The 18541-nt window shown below is 43.1% G+C and overlaps 1 protein-coding gene and 1 pseudogene across 25 annotated transcripts in view; both read right to left on the bottom strand.

Annotated features, from left to right (window-relative positions):
* The window catches only part of RPS6KB1 (ribosomal protein S6 kinase B1), a 57454-nt gene that overhangs the window by 25920 nt on the left and 12993 nt on the right, over positions 1–18541 (bottom strand). For 21 of the 25 annotated variants that reach the window (NR_161461.1, NR_161462.1, NR_161458.1 and 18 more), the window contains 3 exons: positions 14044–14093; positions 11851–11971; positions 9952–10020 (listed from right to left, as the gene is read on the bottom strand). The exons of 1 other annotated variant lie outside the window; for it this stretch is intronic. Coding sequence is in view for 16 of the 24 variants with exons in the window: in NM_001369679.1 (NP_001356608.1) it covers positions 9952–10020; positions 11851–11971; positions 14044–14093 (240 nt within the window). In the remaining 8 variants the exon portion in view is untranslated. The remainder of the gene's footprint in view (positions 1–9951; positions 10021–11850; positions 11972–14043; positions 14094–18541) is intronic. 3 more of the 25 variants (NR_161456.1, NM_001369670.1, NM_001272042.2) reach the window with 2 other exon arrangements.
* RPS29P21 (ribosomal protein S29 pseudogene 21) lies at positions 12208–12488 on the bottom strand (annotated as a pseudogene).

Here is an 18541-nt window from a genome sequence, read left to right as displayed (position 1 = left end):
AAACTAAAAGCTAATGATAATGGAAGGGAAGGAAAAGAAATAAGACTTTTGAGAATACCTTCTGAGTAAAACCCCAATGGTTTTATCATCCATTTTTTTCTTCCCTAAATCAAATATTACTGTAATTATAAAATGTAGATTTTTCTTTTTGAACCATATTAATGTTTAATGAGTTCCAAAAATAAAATAAAATCAACAAGGATGAGGGGTAGGAAGTACAACTGAATACAATAGGAATACACAAATTTAATTGACTATTACACCAATAACTTTACCACAGAAAGAGAAAGAGAAAAAAGATATAGGAGAAAAAGATTTTTTTTTTCTAGACAGAGTCTCACTCTGTCACCCAGGCTGGAGTGCAGTGGCATGGTCTCAGCTCACTGCAACCTCCGCCTCCCAGGTTCAAGTGATTCTCCTGCCTCAGCCTCCCAAGTAGCTGGGACTACAGGCACCTGCCACCACACCTGGCTAATTTTTGTATTTTTAGTAGAGATGGGGTTTCACCATGCTGGCCAGGCTGGTTTCGAACTGAGCTCATGATCCGCCCGCCTTGGCCTCCCAAAGTGCTGGGATTACAGGTGTGAGCCACTGCACCCAGCGAGAAAAAGATATTTAAGTAATTTTAGACTGCACACCCTTAGTGGCCTATATGTAAGCACACAAAAAATTGCAAAGAAATATTAAATCAAACTTAGTAGGTTTGTAGCTGGAAATACTATTGGTATTACAATTTTCATTATGCACATATTGTACAACTGAACAAATGAGTGCGTTTATGTTGTTACCAGAGTTCTTCTCACTGTAGAAAAAAAGGATATCCAAATATGAACTGAAAGAAGAATGTGGTCGGGCACGGTGGCTAACACCTGTAATTCCAGCACTTTGGGAGGCCGAGGCAGGTAGATCACAAGGTCAGGAGTTCAAGACCAGCCTGGCCAAGATGATGAAACCCCGTCTCTACTAAAAATACAAAAATTAGCCGGGCGTGGTGGCAGGCACCTGTAATCCCAGCTACTCAGGAGGCGGAGGCAGAAAACTGCTTGAACGCAGGAGGTGGAGGCTGCAGTGAGCCGAGATCACACCACTGCATTCCAGCCTGGGGGACAAAGCGAGACTCCATCTCAAAAATAAAAAAATAAAAATAAAAAAGAACGCTATGGAATTGGACTAGAATTAGGGCTAACAATATGAAGCACTTTGGGAAACCGAGGCAGGCGGATCACCATGTTGGCCAGGAGTTTGAGACCAGCCTGCCCCACATGGAGAAACCTCATCTCTACTAAAAATACAAGAATTAGCCACGTGTGATAGTACACACCTATACTCCCGTTACTCCAGAGGCTGAGGCACGAGAATGACTGGAACCTGGGAGGCAGAGGTTGCAGTGAGCTGAGGCAGCCTGGTGTCCAAGGGTGTGGTGAGCCATGATCATGCCACTGCACTCAAGCCTGGGCAACAGAGGAAGAACCTGTCTCACAAAAAAAAAAAAAGACCAGGTGCGGTGGCTCATGCCTGTCATCCCAGCACTTTGGGAGGCTGAGGCGGGCAGATCATGAGGTCAGGAGTTCAAGACCAGCCTGGCCAACATAGTGAAACCCCATCTCTACTAAAAATACAAAAATCAGCTGGGTATGGTGGCACGCACCTATCCCAGCGACTCAGGAGGCTGAGGCAGGAGAATTGCTCGAACCTGGGAGATGGAGGTTGCAGTGAGCCAAGACCACATCGTTGCACTCCAGCCTGGGCACCAGAGTGAACCTCCATCTCAAAAAAAAAAAACAAACAAATTTTTTTAAAAGAGAGTATAGGGCCAGGCGCAGTGGCTCACGTCTGTAATCCTGGCACTTTGGGAGGCCAAGGTGGCTAGATCACGGGGTCAAGAGATCGAGACCATCCTGGCCAACATGGTGAAACCCCATCTCTACTAAAAATACAAAAAATTAGCTGGGCGCGATGGCGCACGCCTGTAGTCTCAGCTACTCTGGAGGCTGAGGCAGGAGGATAGTTTGAACCCGGGAGGCAGAAGCTGCAGTGAGCTGAGATCACACCACTGCACTCCAGCCTGACTTCATCTCAAAAAAAAAAAAAAAAAAAAAAAAAGGAGTATAAAAAAATCTTTACAGACTAATGACAATATAGAAAAAATACAGAAAAAATAGAAAAGTCTCCATTTTATAATCACTACAGTACAGTAATATTTGGGCAAGAAACAATCCAGATAAAACCATTAAGTAAAGATTATTATAGGACAGAATATTCACACCGTTTCTATCATTCCACAGATCACTTGTTAACTACAAAAGGAAAAAGAGGCCGGGAACGGAGGCTCAAGTCTGTAATCTCAACACTTTGGGAGGCCGAGGAGAGCGGCTCACCTGAGGTCAGGAGTTTGAGACCAGCCTGGCCAACATGGTGAAACCTCGTCTCTACTACAATTACAAAAATTAGGCAGGCGTGGTAGGAGGCACCTGTAATCCCAGCTACTTGTGGGGCTGAGGCAGGAGAATCGCTTGAACCCAGGAGGTGGAGGTTGCAGTGAGCCAAAATTGCACCACTGCACTCCAGCCTGGGCAACAGAGTGAGACTGCTTCTCAAAAAAAAAAAAAAAAAATGCCCTTATTCTTAGGAGATGTATAGATGAAATTAGGGGTGAAGTGCTATGAAATCTGCAGTTAACTCTCAAATTGTACATGAGGAAAATTTATTAACTAAAATTTATTAACTAAAGGGCTTAGGGCCAAAAAACAGGCATTGTAGGAATCAAGTAAGTCAAAAGTGAGAAAGTTATTGTTCTATGAAACCGCAATATTTCAGAGGTGGAGAACACCTTTGGCCAAAGGTTCTAAAATGTACAGTGGGAGGTGAACTAATGCCGTAGGCAATAGTATTTTGCTTCCATGGTATATTTTTGCTGCAACTGGTAGGGTCGGGTGATGGCTGTTGATAGTCTTTTCCTCACTATTCCACTCTAAGCAAATACCTGAATGGTACCATTCCTATAAGAAGTAAACAGTCCCAGGAGAACTAATAAATCCAGACAGAATGTCCAGATTGAAACAACTCACTTAAGGGGATACCTGGTTCTACTCTGATTTCATCTTAAAGTCTGGGGGAAGAGGTATACACTTACCACACACTCAGGTCAGAGGGGTTAGTACTCTGCCTCCAGGATAATTAAAATCAGAAGGAAGGAACTCAAAGGGAGCCTATAGTCATCTTACTTGGGGATTTAGAAATGAAAGCCCTGAACTTAACCCTAATGACATCTTTATTTTCATTATTTTTGCTATGAGCTTGCTTTCAAGGACAAGGAAGGAGACAGTATCAGATCCTCTAGCCAGGATTAAGAAAAGAACCCCAAGAATGGGAAACAATGGCAACCAAGCAAAAGCAGAGGCAAACAGCTTAGGTCCTGGATCCCTGGGCCCCAGAATGAGGCCTGACACTTAGCAGTAATTAAGTCTATGGATTTCCCAATATACCACCCCACCCACCATGAGTGGGGAAAAAAAACAAGCACTCTTTTTTTCACTAGATACCTGTGCCAAAAACATACTTCACCCAAGATCTAATTATGCCTAATATGGTCAGGCCTGATTATCCGACATAAATAACACATCACAAGGAATGAATCAGTTAAGAATCTTGACCAGAGGCTGGGCGCAGTGGCTCACGCCCATAATTCCAGCACTTTAGGGGGCTGAGGTGGGCGGTCACTTGAGGTCAGGAGTTTGAGACCAGCCTGGCCAACATGGTGAAACCCTGTCTCTACCAAAAGTACAAAAATTAGCCAGGCGTGGTGGTACACACCTGTAGTCCCAGCTATTTGGGAGGCTGAGGCCCTAGAATCACTGGAACCCAAGAGGCAAAGGTTGCAGTGAGCTGAGAACGCTCCACTGCACTCCAGCCTGGGTGATGTAGTGAGACTCTGTTTCAAATAAAAGAAGAAATCTTGACCAGTACTTCTTTTCACATTTCTGGGACAAGCACTATTATGCTGCCTTCAATTCTATACCTAACATGTTTTACAGATTAAAAAATCATTAATCTAAAACAATTCCAACAGGAAAGTCAAATAGCTGATATCAATGTCAACCCACTGAAGAAGAAACTGATGTGAAGAATAGCTAGATGGCTTTTTAAAGACAATTACCAATAAAATTGTGGTCACAGTATTTGTTCCTCAGCTTTCAAACTGAGGAGTCATTTATACTGCTTAAATAAAAATCAGCAAGAAGGACCAAAGTTTTACAAGTCTTATAATTTTTTTAAAAAGTCACTTTGATTGTCTTTAAAGTAGTTCTCCACTGGAACTTTTGTTTTAAGACAGTGGAGGCCGGGCGCAGTGACTCATGCCTGTAATCCTAGCACTTTGGGAGGCCAAGAAGGGTGGATCACCTGCGGTCAGGAGTTCGAGACCAGCCTGGCCAACATGGCAAAGCCCTGTCTCTACTAAAAATACAAAAATTAGCTGGGTGTGGTGGCGGGCACCTGTAATCCCAGCTACTCAGGAGGTTGAGGCAGAAGAATCACTTGAACCCAGGAAAAAAAAAAAAGACAGTGGAATCTTTTCAGTAATCAATCCCAAACAAGAATAAGAAAACAAACACACACATAATCCATCAGTAAAACTAGAAGACATGTGGAATCCCACACCTGAAAAGACAGAGTGGGGATAAAGCAATGGTCCATGATGTAGCAGAGTGGGGTAAGATCAAACCTAAGTGCCTGCAAAGGGGAATACACAAAAGAAGTTGAATCTATCTATAGAACCCCAGCAAGGTTCAAACATTAGAGGAAAAATTAGAAGGAAGGGAAAAAATTAAAGGAACTGAAGACTGTAGAAGGCAGAAGGTGGAGTGCTAAAAACAGGGAGATCATCTACAAGTCTGTGTAAGGAACAGACAGACCAAAAAGGCTCCCATCTCCATACTAAGTCGAAGAACTAACCCTAGGAGAGTTAAATTCCCCGGGACAAAAAAAAAAAGTGAAAGATTAGATCCACAGAGTAAAGTACTAATGTAAAAACTCGAGTTTAGTGAAAGTCCGCGTGTTGAGAGGTAAGATCTCCATCTTCTCTCACTCAGCTCCAGAATGCTTTTTCCAGGCAAATGAATGGCAGAACTTTCTTAGCACCAACTGATCCTCCCCAGAAAAAAAAAGATCTACAGACAATATTTACTTATTTATTTATTTGAGATGGAGTCTCGCTCTTGTTGTCCAAGCTAGAGCACAATGGTGCAATCTTGGCTCACTGCAACCTCCACCTCCCAGGCTCAAGCGATTCTCCTGCCTCAGCGCCCCCAAACCAGCTGGCCAGGCTGGTTTTGAACTCCTGACCTCAGGTGATCAACCTGCCTCAGCCTCCGAAAGTGCTGGGATTACAGGCGTGAGCCACCACACCCAGCCCTACAGACACTATTATTTGAAGTTGTTGATCAAGTGCCAGCTAACCACTTGACTACCCTGCAGAGAAGCTTACACACACAGAACTTCTGATCAGCTTTTCAGAGTTCTACTCTTAAATATGAATAATCAGGCCAGGCGCAGTGGATGGGTTATTGAGGCCTAGGTGGACAGATCACTTGAGGTCAGGAGTTCGAGATCAGGCTGACAACATGGCGAAACCCTGTCACTACTAAAAATGCAAAAATTAGCCAGGCAGGGTGGCACATGCCTGTTATCCCAGCTACTTGGGTGGCTGAGGCACAAGAATCGCTTGAACCCAGGAGGTGGAAATTGCAGTGAGCCGAGACTGTGCCACTGCACTCCAGCCTAGACGACAGAGCAAGACTCCAACTCAAAAAAAAAAAAAAAAAAAAGAATAATCAGTGAATGACACCAGACATCTAAAGAAGGCCTCTAACATGGAACAAAGTGACTAAAACTGACTAAATCAAAGTCAAAGAAAACAGAAAGTCAAAAAAGAACATGCGTAAAACAAAAGAACATTTCAAATAATTATAATTAAACTCTCAGAGAGGCTGGGCGTGGTGGCTCACACCTGTAATCCCAGCACTTTGGGATGCCGAGGTGGACGTTTTGCCTGAGGTCAGGAGTTCAAGACCAGTCTGGCCAACATGATGAAACCCGATATCTGCTAAAAATACAAAAATTAGCCAGGTGTGGTAGCGGGCACCTGTAATCCCAGCTACTCAGGAGGCTGAGGCAGGAGAATCGCTTGAACGCAGGAGGCAGGGGTTGCAGTGAGCCAAGATCGCACCACTGCACTCAAACCTGCACGACAGAGTGAGACTCTTGTCTCAAAAAAATAATAATAAACATTAAAAAAAAATAAAACTCTCAGAGGGGTAAGAGAAGATATTATACTCATTAAACAGGTTGCTATAAAACAAAAACAACAGAAAGAATTCTGGAGAATCACAAATACAACAGCTTTAAAAAAAAATTTAGTCAAATGGCTGGGCACAGTGGCTTACGCCTGTAATCCCAGCACTTCAGGAGGCCAAGGCGGGCGGATCACCTAAGTCAGGAGTTCGAAACCAGCCTGACCAACATGGAGGAACCCTGTCTCTTCTAAAAATACAAAATTAGCCGGGCATGGTGGCACATGCCTGTAATCCCAGCTACTCGGGAGGCTGAGGCAGGGGAATCGCTTGAACCCAGGAGGCGGAGGTTGCGGTGAGCCAAGATTGCGCCATTGCACTCCAGCCTGGGCAACAAGAGCAAAACTCCATCTCAAAAAAAAATTGAGTAGAAGAAAGTAAACAAGACAAAGAAATGGAAACGTGGAAAAGATAAGAAAAATTAGATGATCGGTCCAGGAGATCCAACATCCAACTAATTGCAATTCCAAGAAGAGAAAACAGTGGGAAGGAAATTACCAAATAAATCACATAAGAAAATTTCCTAGAACTGAAAGACTAAAGCTTTAAGATTAAAAGAATAAAAATAGGCTGGGCACAGTGGCACATGCCTGTAATCCCAACACTTTGGGAGCCAAAACAGAACAACTGCTTGAGGCCAGGAGTTCCAGGCCAGCCGGGGAAACACAGGAAGACCTTGTCTCTACGAAACATTTTAAAAATGAACTGGGCGTGGTGGCATGCATCTGCAGTCCTAGCTACTCAGAAGTTGTGGCAGGAGGATCGCTTGAGCCCAGGAGTTACAGGTTACAGTGAAGTATGATCACACCACCACACTCCAGCCTGGGAAACAGAGTGAGACCCTGTCTCTTAAAAATAAATAAATTAATTAATTTAATTAAATAGGCCGGGCGCAGTGGGCCATACCTGTAATCCAATCCCAGCACTTTGGGTGGCCGAGGCGGGTGGATCACTTGAGCCCAGGAGTTCAACACCAGCCTGGGCAACATGGTGAGTGCCCATCTCTACATTTTTTTTTATTAGCCAGGCCTGGTGGTGCGTGTCTGTGGTCCCAGCTACTCAGGAGACTGAGGTGGGAGGATAGCTTGAGCCCAGGAATTTGAGGTTGCACTGAGCTATAATTGTGTCACCGCACTCCTGTCTAGGTGACAGGGCGAGACCCTATCTCAAAAACTAACTAAATAAAAATAATAATCAAAGTCAAAGCAACACACATCACTATAAAAACTTAGATCAGAAATAAAGAGAAAATCTTAAATATTTCCACAGAAAAAATAGGCCATGTGTAAACGACTGGGAATCAGAATGCCAAAGCACTTCAACAGAAACTCTCAAGAATAGAAGAAAACTGAGCAAAATTCTAAGTGAAAATAATTTTCAACTCCAATAACATAAACAATCAAGTAAATAAAAATGTAAAGAAATTCTCAAATATGCAATATGGATATATTTTTATTATAAATGTATCTTTATATACCTTGTCTGAGGGAGCCACTAGTATAGTGTCACCAAAACAAGGACATAAACTAAGAAAAAGGGAAAAAATGAAGATATGGGATCCAGGAAACAAAAGATCCAACACTGAAGGAGCCAAGAGGATTCCAGGGTTGTGGTGAAGAAAGAGTCCAGTCATAACAGTTGTGACTAAAGAGCTACCACTCCAGATGGGAACAGGTGGATAGAAAGTTCCTAAGATATGCCTCTGGGAAATAAATGGAACTGATAGATTATCTTATAAGCCTGATCAAAGAACATTAGACTGAAAGGTGTTTTACAAAGTTGTTGGAAGACATCAGAGGACAATAGTAGATTCAAAGAAAGCAAAACAAAATGAGAGGATGAGGATAAAGGAGGGTGAAGTAAACAAGAAACAAATCCTTAACTCGCATAAAAGAAAGTTAATACTGCCAGGCTCGGTGGCTCACGCCTGTAATCCCAACACTTTGGGAGGTCAAGGCGGGCCGATCCCCCGAGGTCAGGAGTTCGACACCAGCATGCCAATATGGCGAAACCGCATCTCTACTAAAAATACAAAAATTAGCCGGGTGTGGTGGTGGGCGCCTGTAATCCCAGACACTCAGGAAGCTGAAGCAGAGGAATCGCTTTAACCTGGGAGGTGGAGGTTGCAGTGAGCTGAGATCACGCCACTGCACTCCAGCCTGGGCAACAGAGTGAGGCTCCGTCTAAAAAAAAAAATTGAAAACTGCTGAATTAAAAAGATAGCAGTTGGCTGGGCATGGTGGCTCATGCCTGTAATCCCAGCACTTTGGGAGGCCAAGGCGGGCAGATCACCTGAGTTCGAGACCAGCCTAACCAACATGGAGAAACCCCATCTCTACTAAAAATACAAAATTAGCCGGGCGTGGTGGCACATGCCTGTAATCCCAGCTACTAGGGAGGCTGAGGCAGGAGAATCACTTGAACCTGGGAGGCGGAGGTTGTGGTGAGCCGAGATCACTCCACTGCACTCCAGCCTGGGCAACAAGAGCAAAACTCTGTCACAATAAAAAAAAAAAAAAAAAAAAAAAAGATAGCAGTAGGCCAGGCGCAGTGGCTCGTGCCTGTAATCCCAGCAGTTTGGGAGGCCGAGGCAGATGGATCACCTGAGGTCAGGAGTTCGAGACCAGCCTGGCCAATATGGTGAAACCCCGTCTACACTAAAAATCCAAAAATTAGCCAGGCGTGGTGGTAGGCGCCTGTAATCCCAGCTATTAGGGAGGCTAGGGCAGGAGAATCACTTGAACCTGGGAGACAGAGGTTGCAGTGAGCTGAGATTGTACAACTGCACTCCAGCCTGGACAACAGAGTGAGAGTTCATCTCAAAAAAAAAGAGATGGCAGTACATGCTTATTACTTAGAAATAAGGAGATCAGAAACAGTGAAGAGTTACCTCAGCAAAGAATTGCAAGAGCTCTCTTTTCCACACTCACCAAGCAGAAATAAAAATAGGAATAACAGTAATGAAACATACCTCACATTCTAAAAAGTATTGCAACTGTGTTAGAAATACATTTTTTGCCGGGTGCGGTGGCTCATGCCTGTAATCCCTGCACTTTGGGATGCCGAGGCAGGTGGATCACTGAGGTCAGGAGATCAAGACCATCCTGGCCAATATGGTGAAACCCCGTTTCTATCAAAAATACAAAAAAGTAGCTGGGCGTGGCAGCATGCACCTGTAGTCCCAGCTACTCGGGAGGCTGAGGCAGGAGAATTACCTGAACCCGGGAGGTGGAGGTTGCAGTGAGCCGACATCGCACCACCGCACTCCAGCCTGGGCGACAGAGCGCGACTACGTCTCAAAAAAAAAAAAAAGAAAAGAAAATAAATACATTTTTTCTGTAAGAGACTGGGTCTTACTACATTGCTCAGGCTACCCTTGAACTCCTAAGTTCAAGCAATCCTCCTGACTCAGTCTCCCAAGTAGCTGGGACCACAGGTGTGCACCACTGTACCTGGCTTGAGATACATTTTTTTGACTGCAAATTTTAGGCCAAAATGTTACAACAATTAAAAATATGATATGATTGCTTCCCAGCCTTTTGGCTGAGATCAAGTGTAAAAATATGGTGTGTGAGGACTAAAAAGGGGGAGTGGAAATCACCTTTTTAAGCACCTTCATGGCAAATATTTTCCCAGTATTTGCTCCTGTTACTTTTCGTACTTGAAAAACCTGGATTAAAAAAAAGTGTGTGTTATTCAAAGGCAAACTATGTCAGGCATACTCCCTTAATTCCTAGTTATAAGAAACATATGCCACAGCAGTTTATATTATAAAAACTATGTGCAAAAATGATCAGCTAAAAGAACAGACCACATTAATGATCATGACTTTCCTGTTTGTTCTGCTGCCATCTGGTGGTAATGTTGGACAATGACCATCTAATAATAAACACTGTTACTTTATATTAATATATAAAATCCTACTTAGAACAAGCTATAAACAGTGTTCCCAGAGGCATAATACCACCTTAAAAATTATAAAATATTTCATAAATTTCTTTCAAGGTTGCTTGCCACTGCCCTTGCTTCACATAAAACTATTTAAAAATAGTTGGCAGTAAAAATTATAAAATATTTCATAAATTTCTTTCAAGGTTGCTTGCCACTGCCCTTGCTTCACATAAAACTATTTAAAAATAGTTGGCAGGAAATTACTGTTTACCTATTACTTAAAATAGTTTGTACTAATACTTGGCCCTCTGAATCTACAGGTTCAGCAGCCGTGGATTCAACCAACCGCAGAATGAAAATATTTGGGGGAAAAAACAATAAACAATACAAACAATAAAAAATAACACAAATATGGCCAGGTGAGGTGGCTCACAACTGTAAACCCGGCACTTTGGGAGGCCAACTCGGGTGGATCACCTGAGGTCAGGAGTTCAAGACCAGCCTGGCCAACATGGTGAAACCCCATCTCTACTAAAAATACAAAAATTAGCCGGATGTGGTGGCGCACACCTGTAATCCCAGCTACTCGGGAGACTGAGGCAGGAGAATCGCTTGAATCTGGAAGGCAGAGGTTGCAGTGAGCTGAGATCGTGCCACTGCACTCCAGCCTGCGGGAAAGAACGAGACTCTGTCTCAAAAATCATAAAAAATAAAATAAAAAATTAAGCATATGGGAGGATGTGTGTAGCTTATATGCAAATACTATGCCATTTTATATAAGGCACTTGAGCGTCGGCAGATTTTGTTATCTGCAAAGGTCTTGGAATCAGTTCTCCCTTACCCCTCCCCCATACTGAAAGACAACTATAAACATTTTCATGCAACACCTAAAACATGTGAGATTCAAAGTGCATGTGTTGCACATTCAGGATGATTAGAAATTACAATGTGTTCTTAAGCATAAGAATAGGCTACAAATGTCTGCTTTGCAAAAATTAACACTACACAATAGCAAAAATAATTCTTAAAACTTAATACTAACCAAGTTATTATCTAAATTATTTTGATAAGAGAATAGTTTGGTAAAAAGTTTTGTGGGCAGAACTCATAAAAGTGACGTCTTAAGTTGTAAAGCCTTGGGCAAAACTGTGAAACTAAATAGTTTTCTTCCCCCTTTTTATATTCCTTCAGCTTCCCCAATTCTATTGCTCCAGAAAACCAGTTGAGATTAAGGTCTCAGTAACAGATAACAACTCAGACTGCCATGTCTCTTGTAAGCAAGGAGGGCTTTATTTTTAAAGAGGATACCATTTAACCAAAGTAAAGAATGAACCCTTTAATAATAGACTTTGCCTGGTACAGTTGTCTATTTATGTATTCTATGAACCTTGACTGAGTACCTATTATGTGCCAGGCTTTTACATGTGTGGTGGTATGAAAAGAAGGGAAAACTGAACTTCTGTACATCCCTCAAACATACCAGCTAAGTGGTCATGATCACATCCTTTGCTGATAGCTGACAAAGACTGAAGATGACTGCTGGAACCAGGGCATAAAAATCAATCTATTCAAGACAGACAACAGCTCTCATTTCAAAAATATTGCCTACCTTTCCATAGCCCCCTTTACCAAGTACCCGAAGTAGCTCAAAACATTCTGGTCTGATTTTTTCTGGCCCTCTGTTCACACTAGTTTCTGAGATTTCAAATTTCTCACAATGTTCCATGCCACTGGGAAGAAAAGCAAAACCAAAAATAAATTTGCAAAAAGTTAAATTACTTTCAGCATATAGTCAAGAAAAAGGAGACAGAGAAATGTAATCTAAGTAAGTAAAAGTAAAAAAGTACATGACACCAAATTATTTGTGCTCTAAACAAACAGAACAGCAGGTCAAGAGGAGGGTGGCCTGATAATCGTTTGCCTCCTTGTTCATAGAATGGGCAATCAATTATTTACTTATTTTTATAATTGTTTATTTTATGCATAAAGGGGTACTATGGTTTTTCATTGGGTAGATGCCTTGGATAATCCATTCAAGTAAGATCACTTAGTCCAACTTAATGAAATCTATATCCTTCGTTTACTGATAGAAACACTGGCGCACATATTGAGGCCGTATTTCTGGATCAGACCTTGCCAGTTTGAGCAGACACAACAAGAGCAAGAACCCTGATTGAATTTTCATGGGTGACTCCAATACAGCTGCTGGTGACCCATCTTGCTCTTAGGAGTGCAACAAAGTAAAAGAAGACAATTATTTATTTTCATAAGCATCAAGCACCCCAAAGCTAAGGTAAGTTAGAAAAAGTTCATTAAGTTGACAAAGAAAAAAAGTCTTGCAGTTATTCAAATTTACTTCATTGAAAATATCTATGAAATTAGGTATTATCCAACCTCATTTGGCAATGTCAGCAGAAAATCAGGGATCTTTCCAAAACTACCCAATTAGTTCACATCATAGTACAAAACTTCTTCTCTGTATCTGTTTTTTCAAGTTATTAGCTTGATTTAAAGAATCCAATGGGCGTGGTGGCTCATGCCTGTAATCCCAGCACTTTGGGAGGCTGAGGTGGGCGGATCACTTGAGGTCGAGAGTTCAAGACCAGCCTGGCCAACATGGTAAAACCCTGTCTCCACTAAAAATACAAAAATTCCAGCCTAGCCAACATGGTGAAACCCCGTCTCTATTAAAAATACAAAAATTAGCTGGGCGTGGTGGCAGGAACCTATAATCCCAGCTACTCAGGAGGCTGAGGCAGGAGAATCACTTGAACCTGGGAGGCAGAGGTTGCAGTGGGCCGAGATCATGCCATCACACTCCAGCCTGGGAACAAGAGCGAGACTTTGTCTCAAAAAAAAAAAAAAAAAAAAAAAACCCAACAAAAATTAGCCAGGTGTGGTGGTGCGCTCCTGTAGTCCCAGCTACTTGGGAGGCTGAGGCAGGACAATCGCTTGAACCCAGGAGGTGGAGGTTGTGGTGAGCCGAGATTGTGCCACTGCACTCCAGCCTGGGTGACAGAGGGAGACTCCATCTCCAAAAAAATAAAAATAAAGAATCCAAAAGGGGTAGCAATTGTCTCTGTCATTTAAATGCTTTCTACATGAGTGATCTATCTTCTCATTCTCCTCCTACACTAATGCTTTTTACTTGAGAGTACAATACAGAGCAGATTAATCACCATACTCACCTAATGGAGCTTGTCTAAAATGACTTAAGATTACATGAATTTCTTTTTTGTTGTTGCTGTTGAGACGGAGTCTCGCTATGTCGCCCGGCTAATTTTTGAATTTTAAGAAGAGACGGGGTTTCGCCATGTCGGCCAGGCTGGTCTCGAACTCCTGATCTCAAATGACCCGCCCACCTTGGCCTCCCAAACTGCTGGGATTACAGGTGTGAGCCACTGTGCCCAGCCGGATTGCATGAATTTCTGTTTGAATGACTGTATGAATTTCTGTTTGTATATTTAAGCAAAACAGAAAGCATTTGACTTTTTGAGGCATTTCTACAAATTTTTCTGTAAGAAAAGATTAAAACTGTGGCTCTTTAAACTAACAACTCAGATTCATATTTAGTACTCTGAATCTGAATTAATATCTTTTCCTCAAAATCCATACATAATCTCAAAACTCTGATAGGTTATATTGATCAGATTTTGGTGCCAAATTCAATACATCGAGTTGATAAATATGACTACATATTTAAGAACAGGTTACAGGAATCACATGATTGCTACGAAATAGAACTGATAAAACCTACTTGTAAGAAAGACAACACAATGAAAATCTCTTCATATAAACTTACAGTTCATATGGTCCAACTCCCCCATGGTCCATGCTTTCATTTAACTGACCCTGAAAAATATGTTAAAAGTTTCAGAAATAATCTAATAAACATAAAATTTAAAGGTTTAATTCTTTGTCTCATAACTGAAAGAGAATGAATGAAATAAACCAGCCTAACAATTCTCTTATACTTCAACAACAGGCAAATATGGTAATGAACAAAACACAGTACACAAACAACACTATGGGAATTTCACTCTAAATTATTTTACAAATAGAGATGAGGTCTTTCTATGTTGCCCAGACTGGAATGCAGTCAATAGCTATGAAGGGGTATGATCATAGCATACCAGAGCCTTAAACTCCTCAAGTGATTCTTCTGCCTCAGCGTTCCAAGTAGCTGGGACTATAGGCACCCGGGTTTTTTTTTTTTTTTTCTTTTTTGAGATGGAGTCTCACTCTGTCACCCAGACTGGAGTGCAGCGGTGCCATCTCAGCTCACTGCAACCTCCGCCTCCCAGGTTCCAGTGTTTCTCCTACCTCAGCCTCCTGAGTAGCTGGGAGTATAGGCATGTACCACCATGCTTGGCTAATTTTTGTGTATATATATATATTTTTTGAGATGGAGTCTTGCTCTGTTGCCCAGGCTGGAGTGCAGTGGCGCCATCTCGGCTCACTGCAACCTCCACCTCCCAGGTTCAAGTGATTCCCCTGCCTCAGCCTTCCGAGTAGCTGGGATTACAGGTGCCTGCCACCATGCCTGGCTAATTTTTTATATTTTTAGTAGAGATGGGGTTTCACATATTAGCCAGGATGGTCTTGATCTCCTGACCTTGTGATCTGCCCACCTCAGCCTCCCAAAGTGCTGGGATTACAGGCGTGAGTCAACACTCCCGGCCCTAATTTTTGCATTTTTAGTAGAGATGGGGTTTCATCATGTTGGCCAGGCTGGTCTCGAACTCCTGACCTCAGGTGATCCGCCCTCCTCGGCTTCTCAAAGTGCTGGGATTACAGGCGTGAGCCATCACACCCGGCCCCAGCTTTTGCTTTTAATTTTATATGACAGGCTGGGCATGGTGGCTCACACCTGTAATCCCAGCACTTTGGGAGGCCGATGCGGGCAGATCACGAGGTCAGGAGTTCGAGACCGGCCTGGCCAATACGATGAAATCCAGTCTCTAATAAAAATACAAAAATTAGACGGGTGCGGTGTCGCATGCCTGTAGTTCCAGCTACTCAAGAGGCTGAGGCAGGAGAATTGCTTGAACCCAGAAGGCAGAAGTTGCGGTGAGCCGAGATCACGCCACTGCACTCTAGCCTGGGCAACAGAGCAAGACTCCATCTCAAAAAAAAAAAAAAAAAAAAAAAAAAAAAAAAAAAAAAAAAAAAAAAAAAAAAAAAAAAGCCACGTGCGGTGGCTCATGCCTGTGGTCCCAGCAGTTTGGGAGGCCGAGGCGGGCAGATCACCTGAAGTTGGGGGTTCGAGACCAGCCTTACCAATATGGAGAAACCCCATCTCTACTAAAAAAATACAAAATTAGTCGGCCGTGGTGGCCCATGCCTGCAATGCCAGCTACTCGGGAGGATGAGGCAGGAGAATCACTTGAACCTGGAAGGCAGAGATGGCAGTGAGCCGAGATCGCGCCATTGCACTCCAGTCTGGGCAACAAGAGCGAAACCCTGTCTCAAAAAAAAAAAAAAAAAAAAAAATTTGGCCGGGCGCGGTGGCTCACGCTTGTAATCCCAGCACTCTGGGAGGCCGAGGCGGGCGGATCACGAGGTCAGGAAATCGAGACCATCCTGGCTAACACGGTGAAACCCCGTCTCTACTAAAAATACAAAAAATTAGCCGGGCGTGGTAGCGGGCACCTGTAGTCCCAGCTACTCGGGAGGCTGAGGCAGGAGAATGGCGTGAACCCGGGAGGCGGAGCTTGCAGTGAGCCGAGATCGCGCCACTGCACTCCAGCCTGGGCGACAGAGCGAGACTCCGTCTCAAAAAAAAAAAAAAAAAAAAAAATTTTTTTTACATGACAACTTAACTGTAGAGGCTACTCATGACTAATCAAAAAATAAAACCAAGTGAATTTTCCTTCAAAATGTACATTTATCTATTCGAAAATGTATATTTTCGGCTGGGTGCAGTGGCTCATACCTGTAATCCCAGCACTTTGGGAGGCCGAGGCGGGTGGATCACCTGAGGTCAGAAGTTTGAGACCATCCTGGCCAACATGGTGAAACCCCGTCTCTACTAAAAATACAAAAATACAAAAATTAGCCAGGCGTGGTGGTGGGTGCCTGTAATCCCAACAACTCGGGAGGCTGAGGCAGAAGAATCTCTTGGATACGGGAGGCAAAGGTTGCAGTGAGCCGAGATCTCGCCACTGCACTCCAGCCTAAGTGACAGAGTGAGACTCCATCTCAAAAAAAAAAAAAATGTATATTTTGTGTATTATGAAATTAAAGGCACTACATTCTGAATATGACTTAAATCAAATGATTTACACACAGTGCTATTTTGATGTGCTTTTAATACACAGAGTAACATAATGCTATAAACTAAGCCTAAGGTACCCACAACTAGTCCAGGGTATCTAGTGTAAAATGCGGCTGATCGAGACAAAATAATTAAGCAACACTGTCAAACAGTTGGAAGTCATGCTGGCCACACATTTATTCTGACCATTGAATAAATGAGTGCAAAATTTAAATAACCTTCTATATACTAGCAATGAACAATCCCAAAATGAAATGAAGGTAACAATTCCATTTATAATACCATCACTAAGAAGTAGCTTAGAAAAAAATTTATGGCACGTACAGTGGCATAAATAACTTCGGGAGTCCAAGGCAGGAGGATTACTTGGAGTTCAAGACCAGCCTGGCCAACACAGTAAGATCCTGCCTCCACAAAAAAATTTTTAAAAATTAGCTGAGTGTGGTGGCACATGCCTGTAGTCCCAGCTACTTAGGAGGCTGAGGTGGCAGGATCACTTGAGTGCAGGAGGTCATGGCTACAATGTGGCAGTGATTGTGCCACTATATTCCAGCCTGGGCAACAGAGTGAGACCCTGTCTCAAAAAAAAAAAAAAATTAACCAAAGTGTAAGACTTACACACTGAAAACAATAAAACATTGCTGAATAAAATTAAAGACGACCTAAATAAATGGAAAGGCATTCCATGTTTATGGATCAGAGATTTAACATTGTTAAGATGGCAATACTAACCAAATTGGTCACGGATTCAACTGAATCCTATCAAAACCCCAGGTTCCTTTCTTGCAGAAATTGACAAGCTGATCCTAAATTTCATATAGAAATGCAAGGGACCACCAGGCACGGTGGCTCATGCCTGTAATCCCAGCACTTTGGGAGGCCGAGGCAGGCAGATCACGAGGTCAGGAGATCAAGACCATCCTGGCTAACATGGTGAAACACCGCCTCTACTAAAAATATAAAAAATTAGCCAGGTGTGGTGGTGGGCGCCTGTAGTCCCAGCTGCTCGGGAGGCTGAGGCAGGAGAATGGCGTGAACCCGTGAGGCGGAGCTTGCAGTGAGCCAAGATCGCGCCACTGCAGCAGTCCAGCCTGGGCAACAGAGTGAGACTCTGTCTCAAAAAAAAAAAAGAAGAAATGCAAGGGACCGGGCAAGGCGGCTCACGTCTGTAATCCCAGCACTTTGGAGGCCAAGGCACATGGATCACCTGAGGTCAGGAGTTTGAAACCAGCCTGGCCAACATGGCGAAACCCCATCTCTACTAAAAATACAAAAATTAGCCAGGCGTGGTGGAGGGCGCCTGTAATCTCAGCTACTCGGGAAGTTGAGGCAGGAGAATTGCTTGAACCCGTAAGGCAGACGTTGCGGTGAGCGAGATCACACCATTGCACTCCAGCCCAGGTGACAGAGCGAGACTCCATCTCAAAACAAACAAACAAAAAAAAGTAAAGAAAGAAAGAAATGCAAAGGAGCCAGGCCGGGTGTGGTGGCTCACACCTGTAATTCTAGCACTTTAGGAGGCCAAGATAGGTGGATTACTCGAGGTCAGGAGTTCAAGACCAGCCTGGCCAATATGGTGAAACCCCATCTCTACTAAAAATACAAAAATTAACTGGAGTGGTCATCCATGCTTGTAATCCCAGCTACTCAGGGCTGAGGCAGAAGAATGGCTTGAACCCAGGAGGCAGAGGTTGCAGTGAGCCGAGATCGCGCCACTGCACACTCCAGCCTGGGCAACAAAGCTAGACTCTGTCGAAAGGGAAGGGGAAGGGGAAGGGGAAGGGAGGCAAGGGACCCAAAATAACTGATACAATCTTGAAAAAGAACAAAGGTGGAGGACTGACACTTCCCAATTTCAAAACATGTTACAAAGCTACAGCCATCAAGGCAGTGTGGTACTGGCATAAAGAAAGACATATAGATCAACAGAATAGAATTAAGAGCCCAGAAATAAACTCTTACATTTATATTGTCAACTAATTTTTGATAAAACTGCCAAAAATATTCATTAGGCAAGAGGCAA

The sequence above is a fragment of the Homo sapiens genome, chromosome 17, assembly GCF_000001405.40.
Source record: "Homo sapiens chromosome 17, GRCh38.p14 Primary Assembly".
NCBI classification, from domain to species: domain Eukaryota; kingdom Metazoa; phylum Chordata; class Mammalia; order Primates; family Hominidae; genus Homo; species Homo sapiens.
The sequence above is the reverse complement of the archived record's forward strand: the minus strand, read 5'-3'. Positions and strand labels throughout refer to the sequence as shown.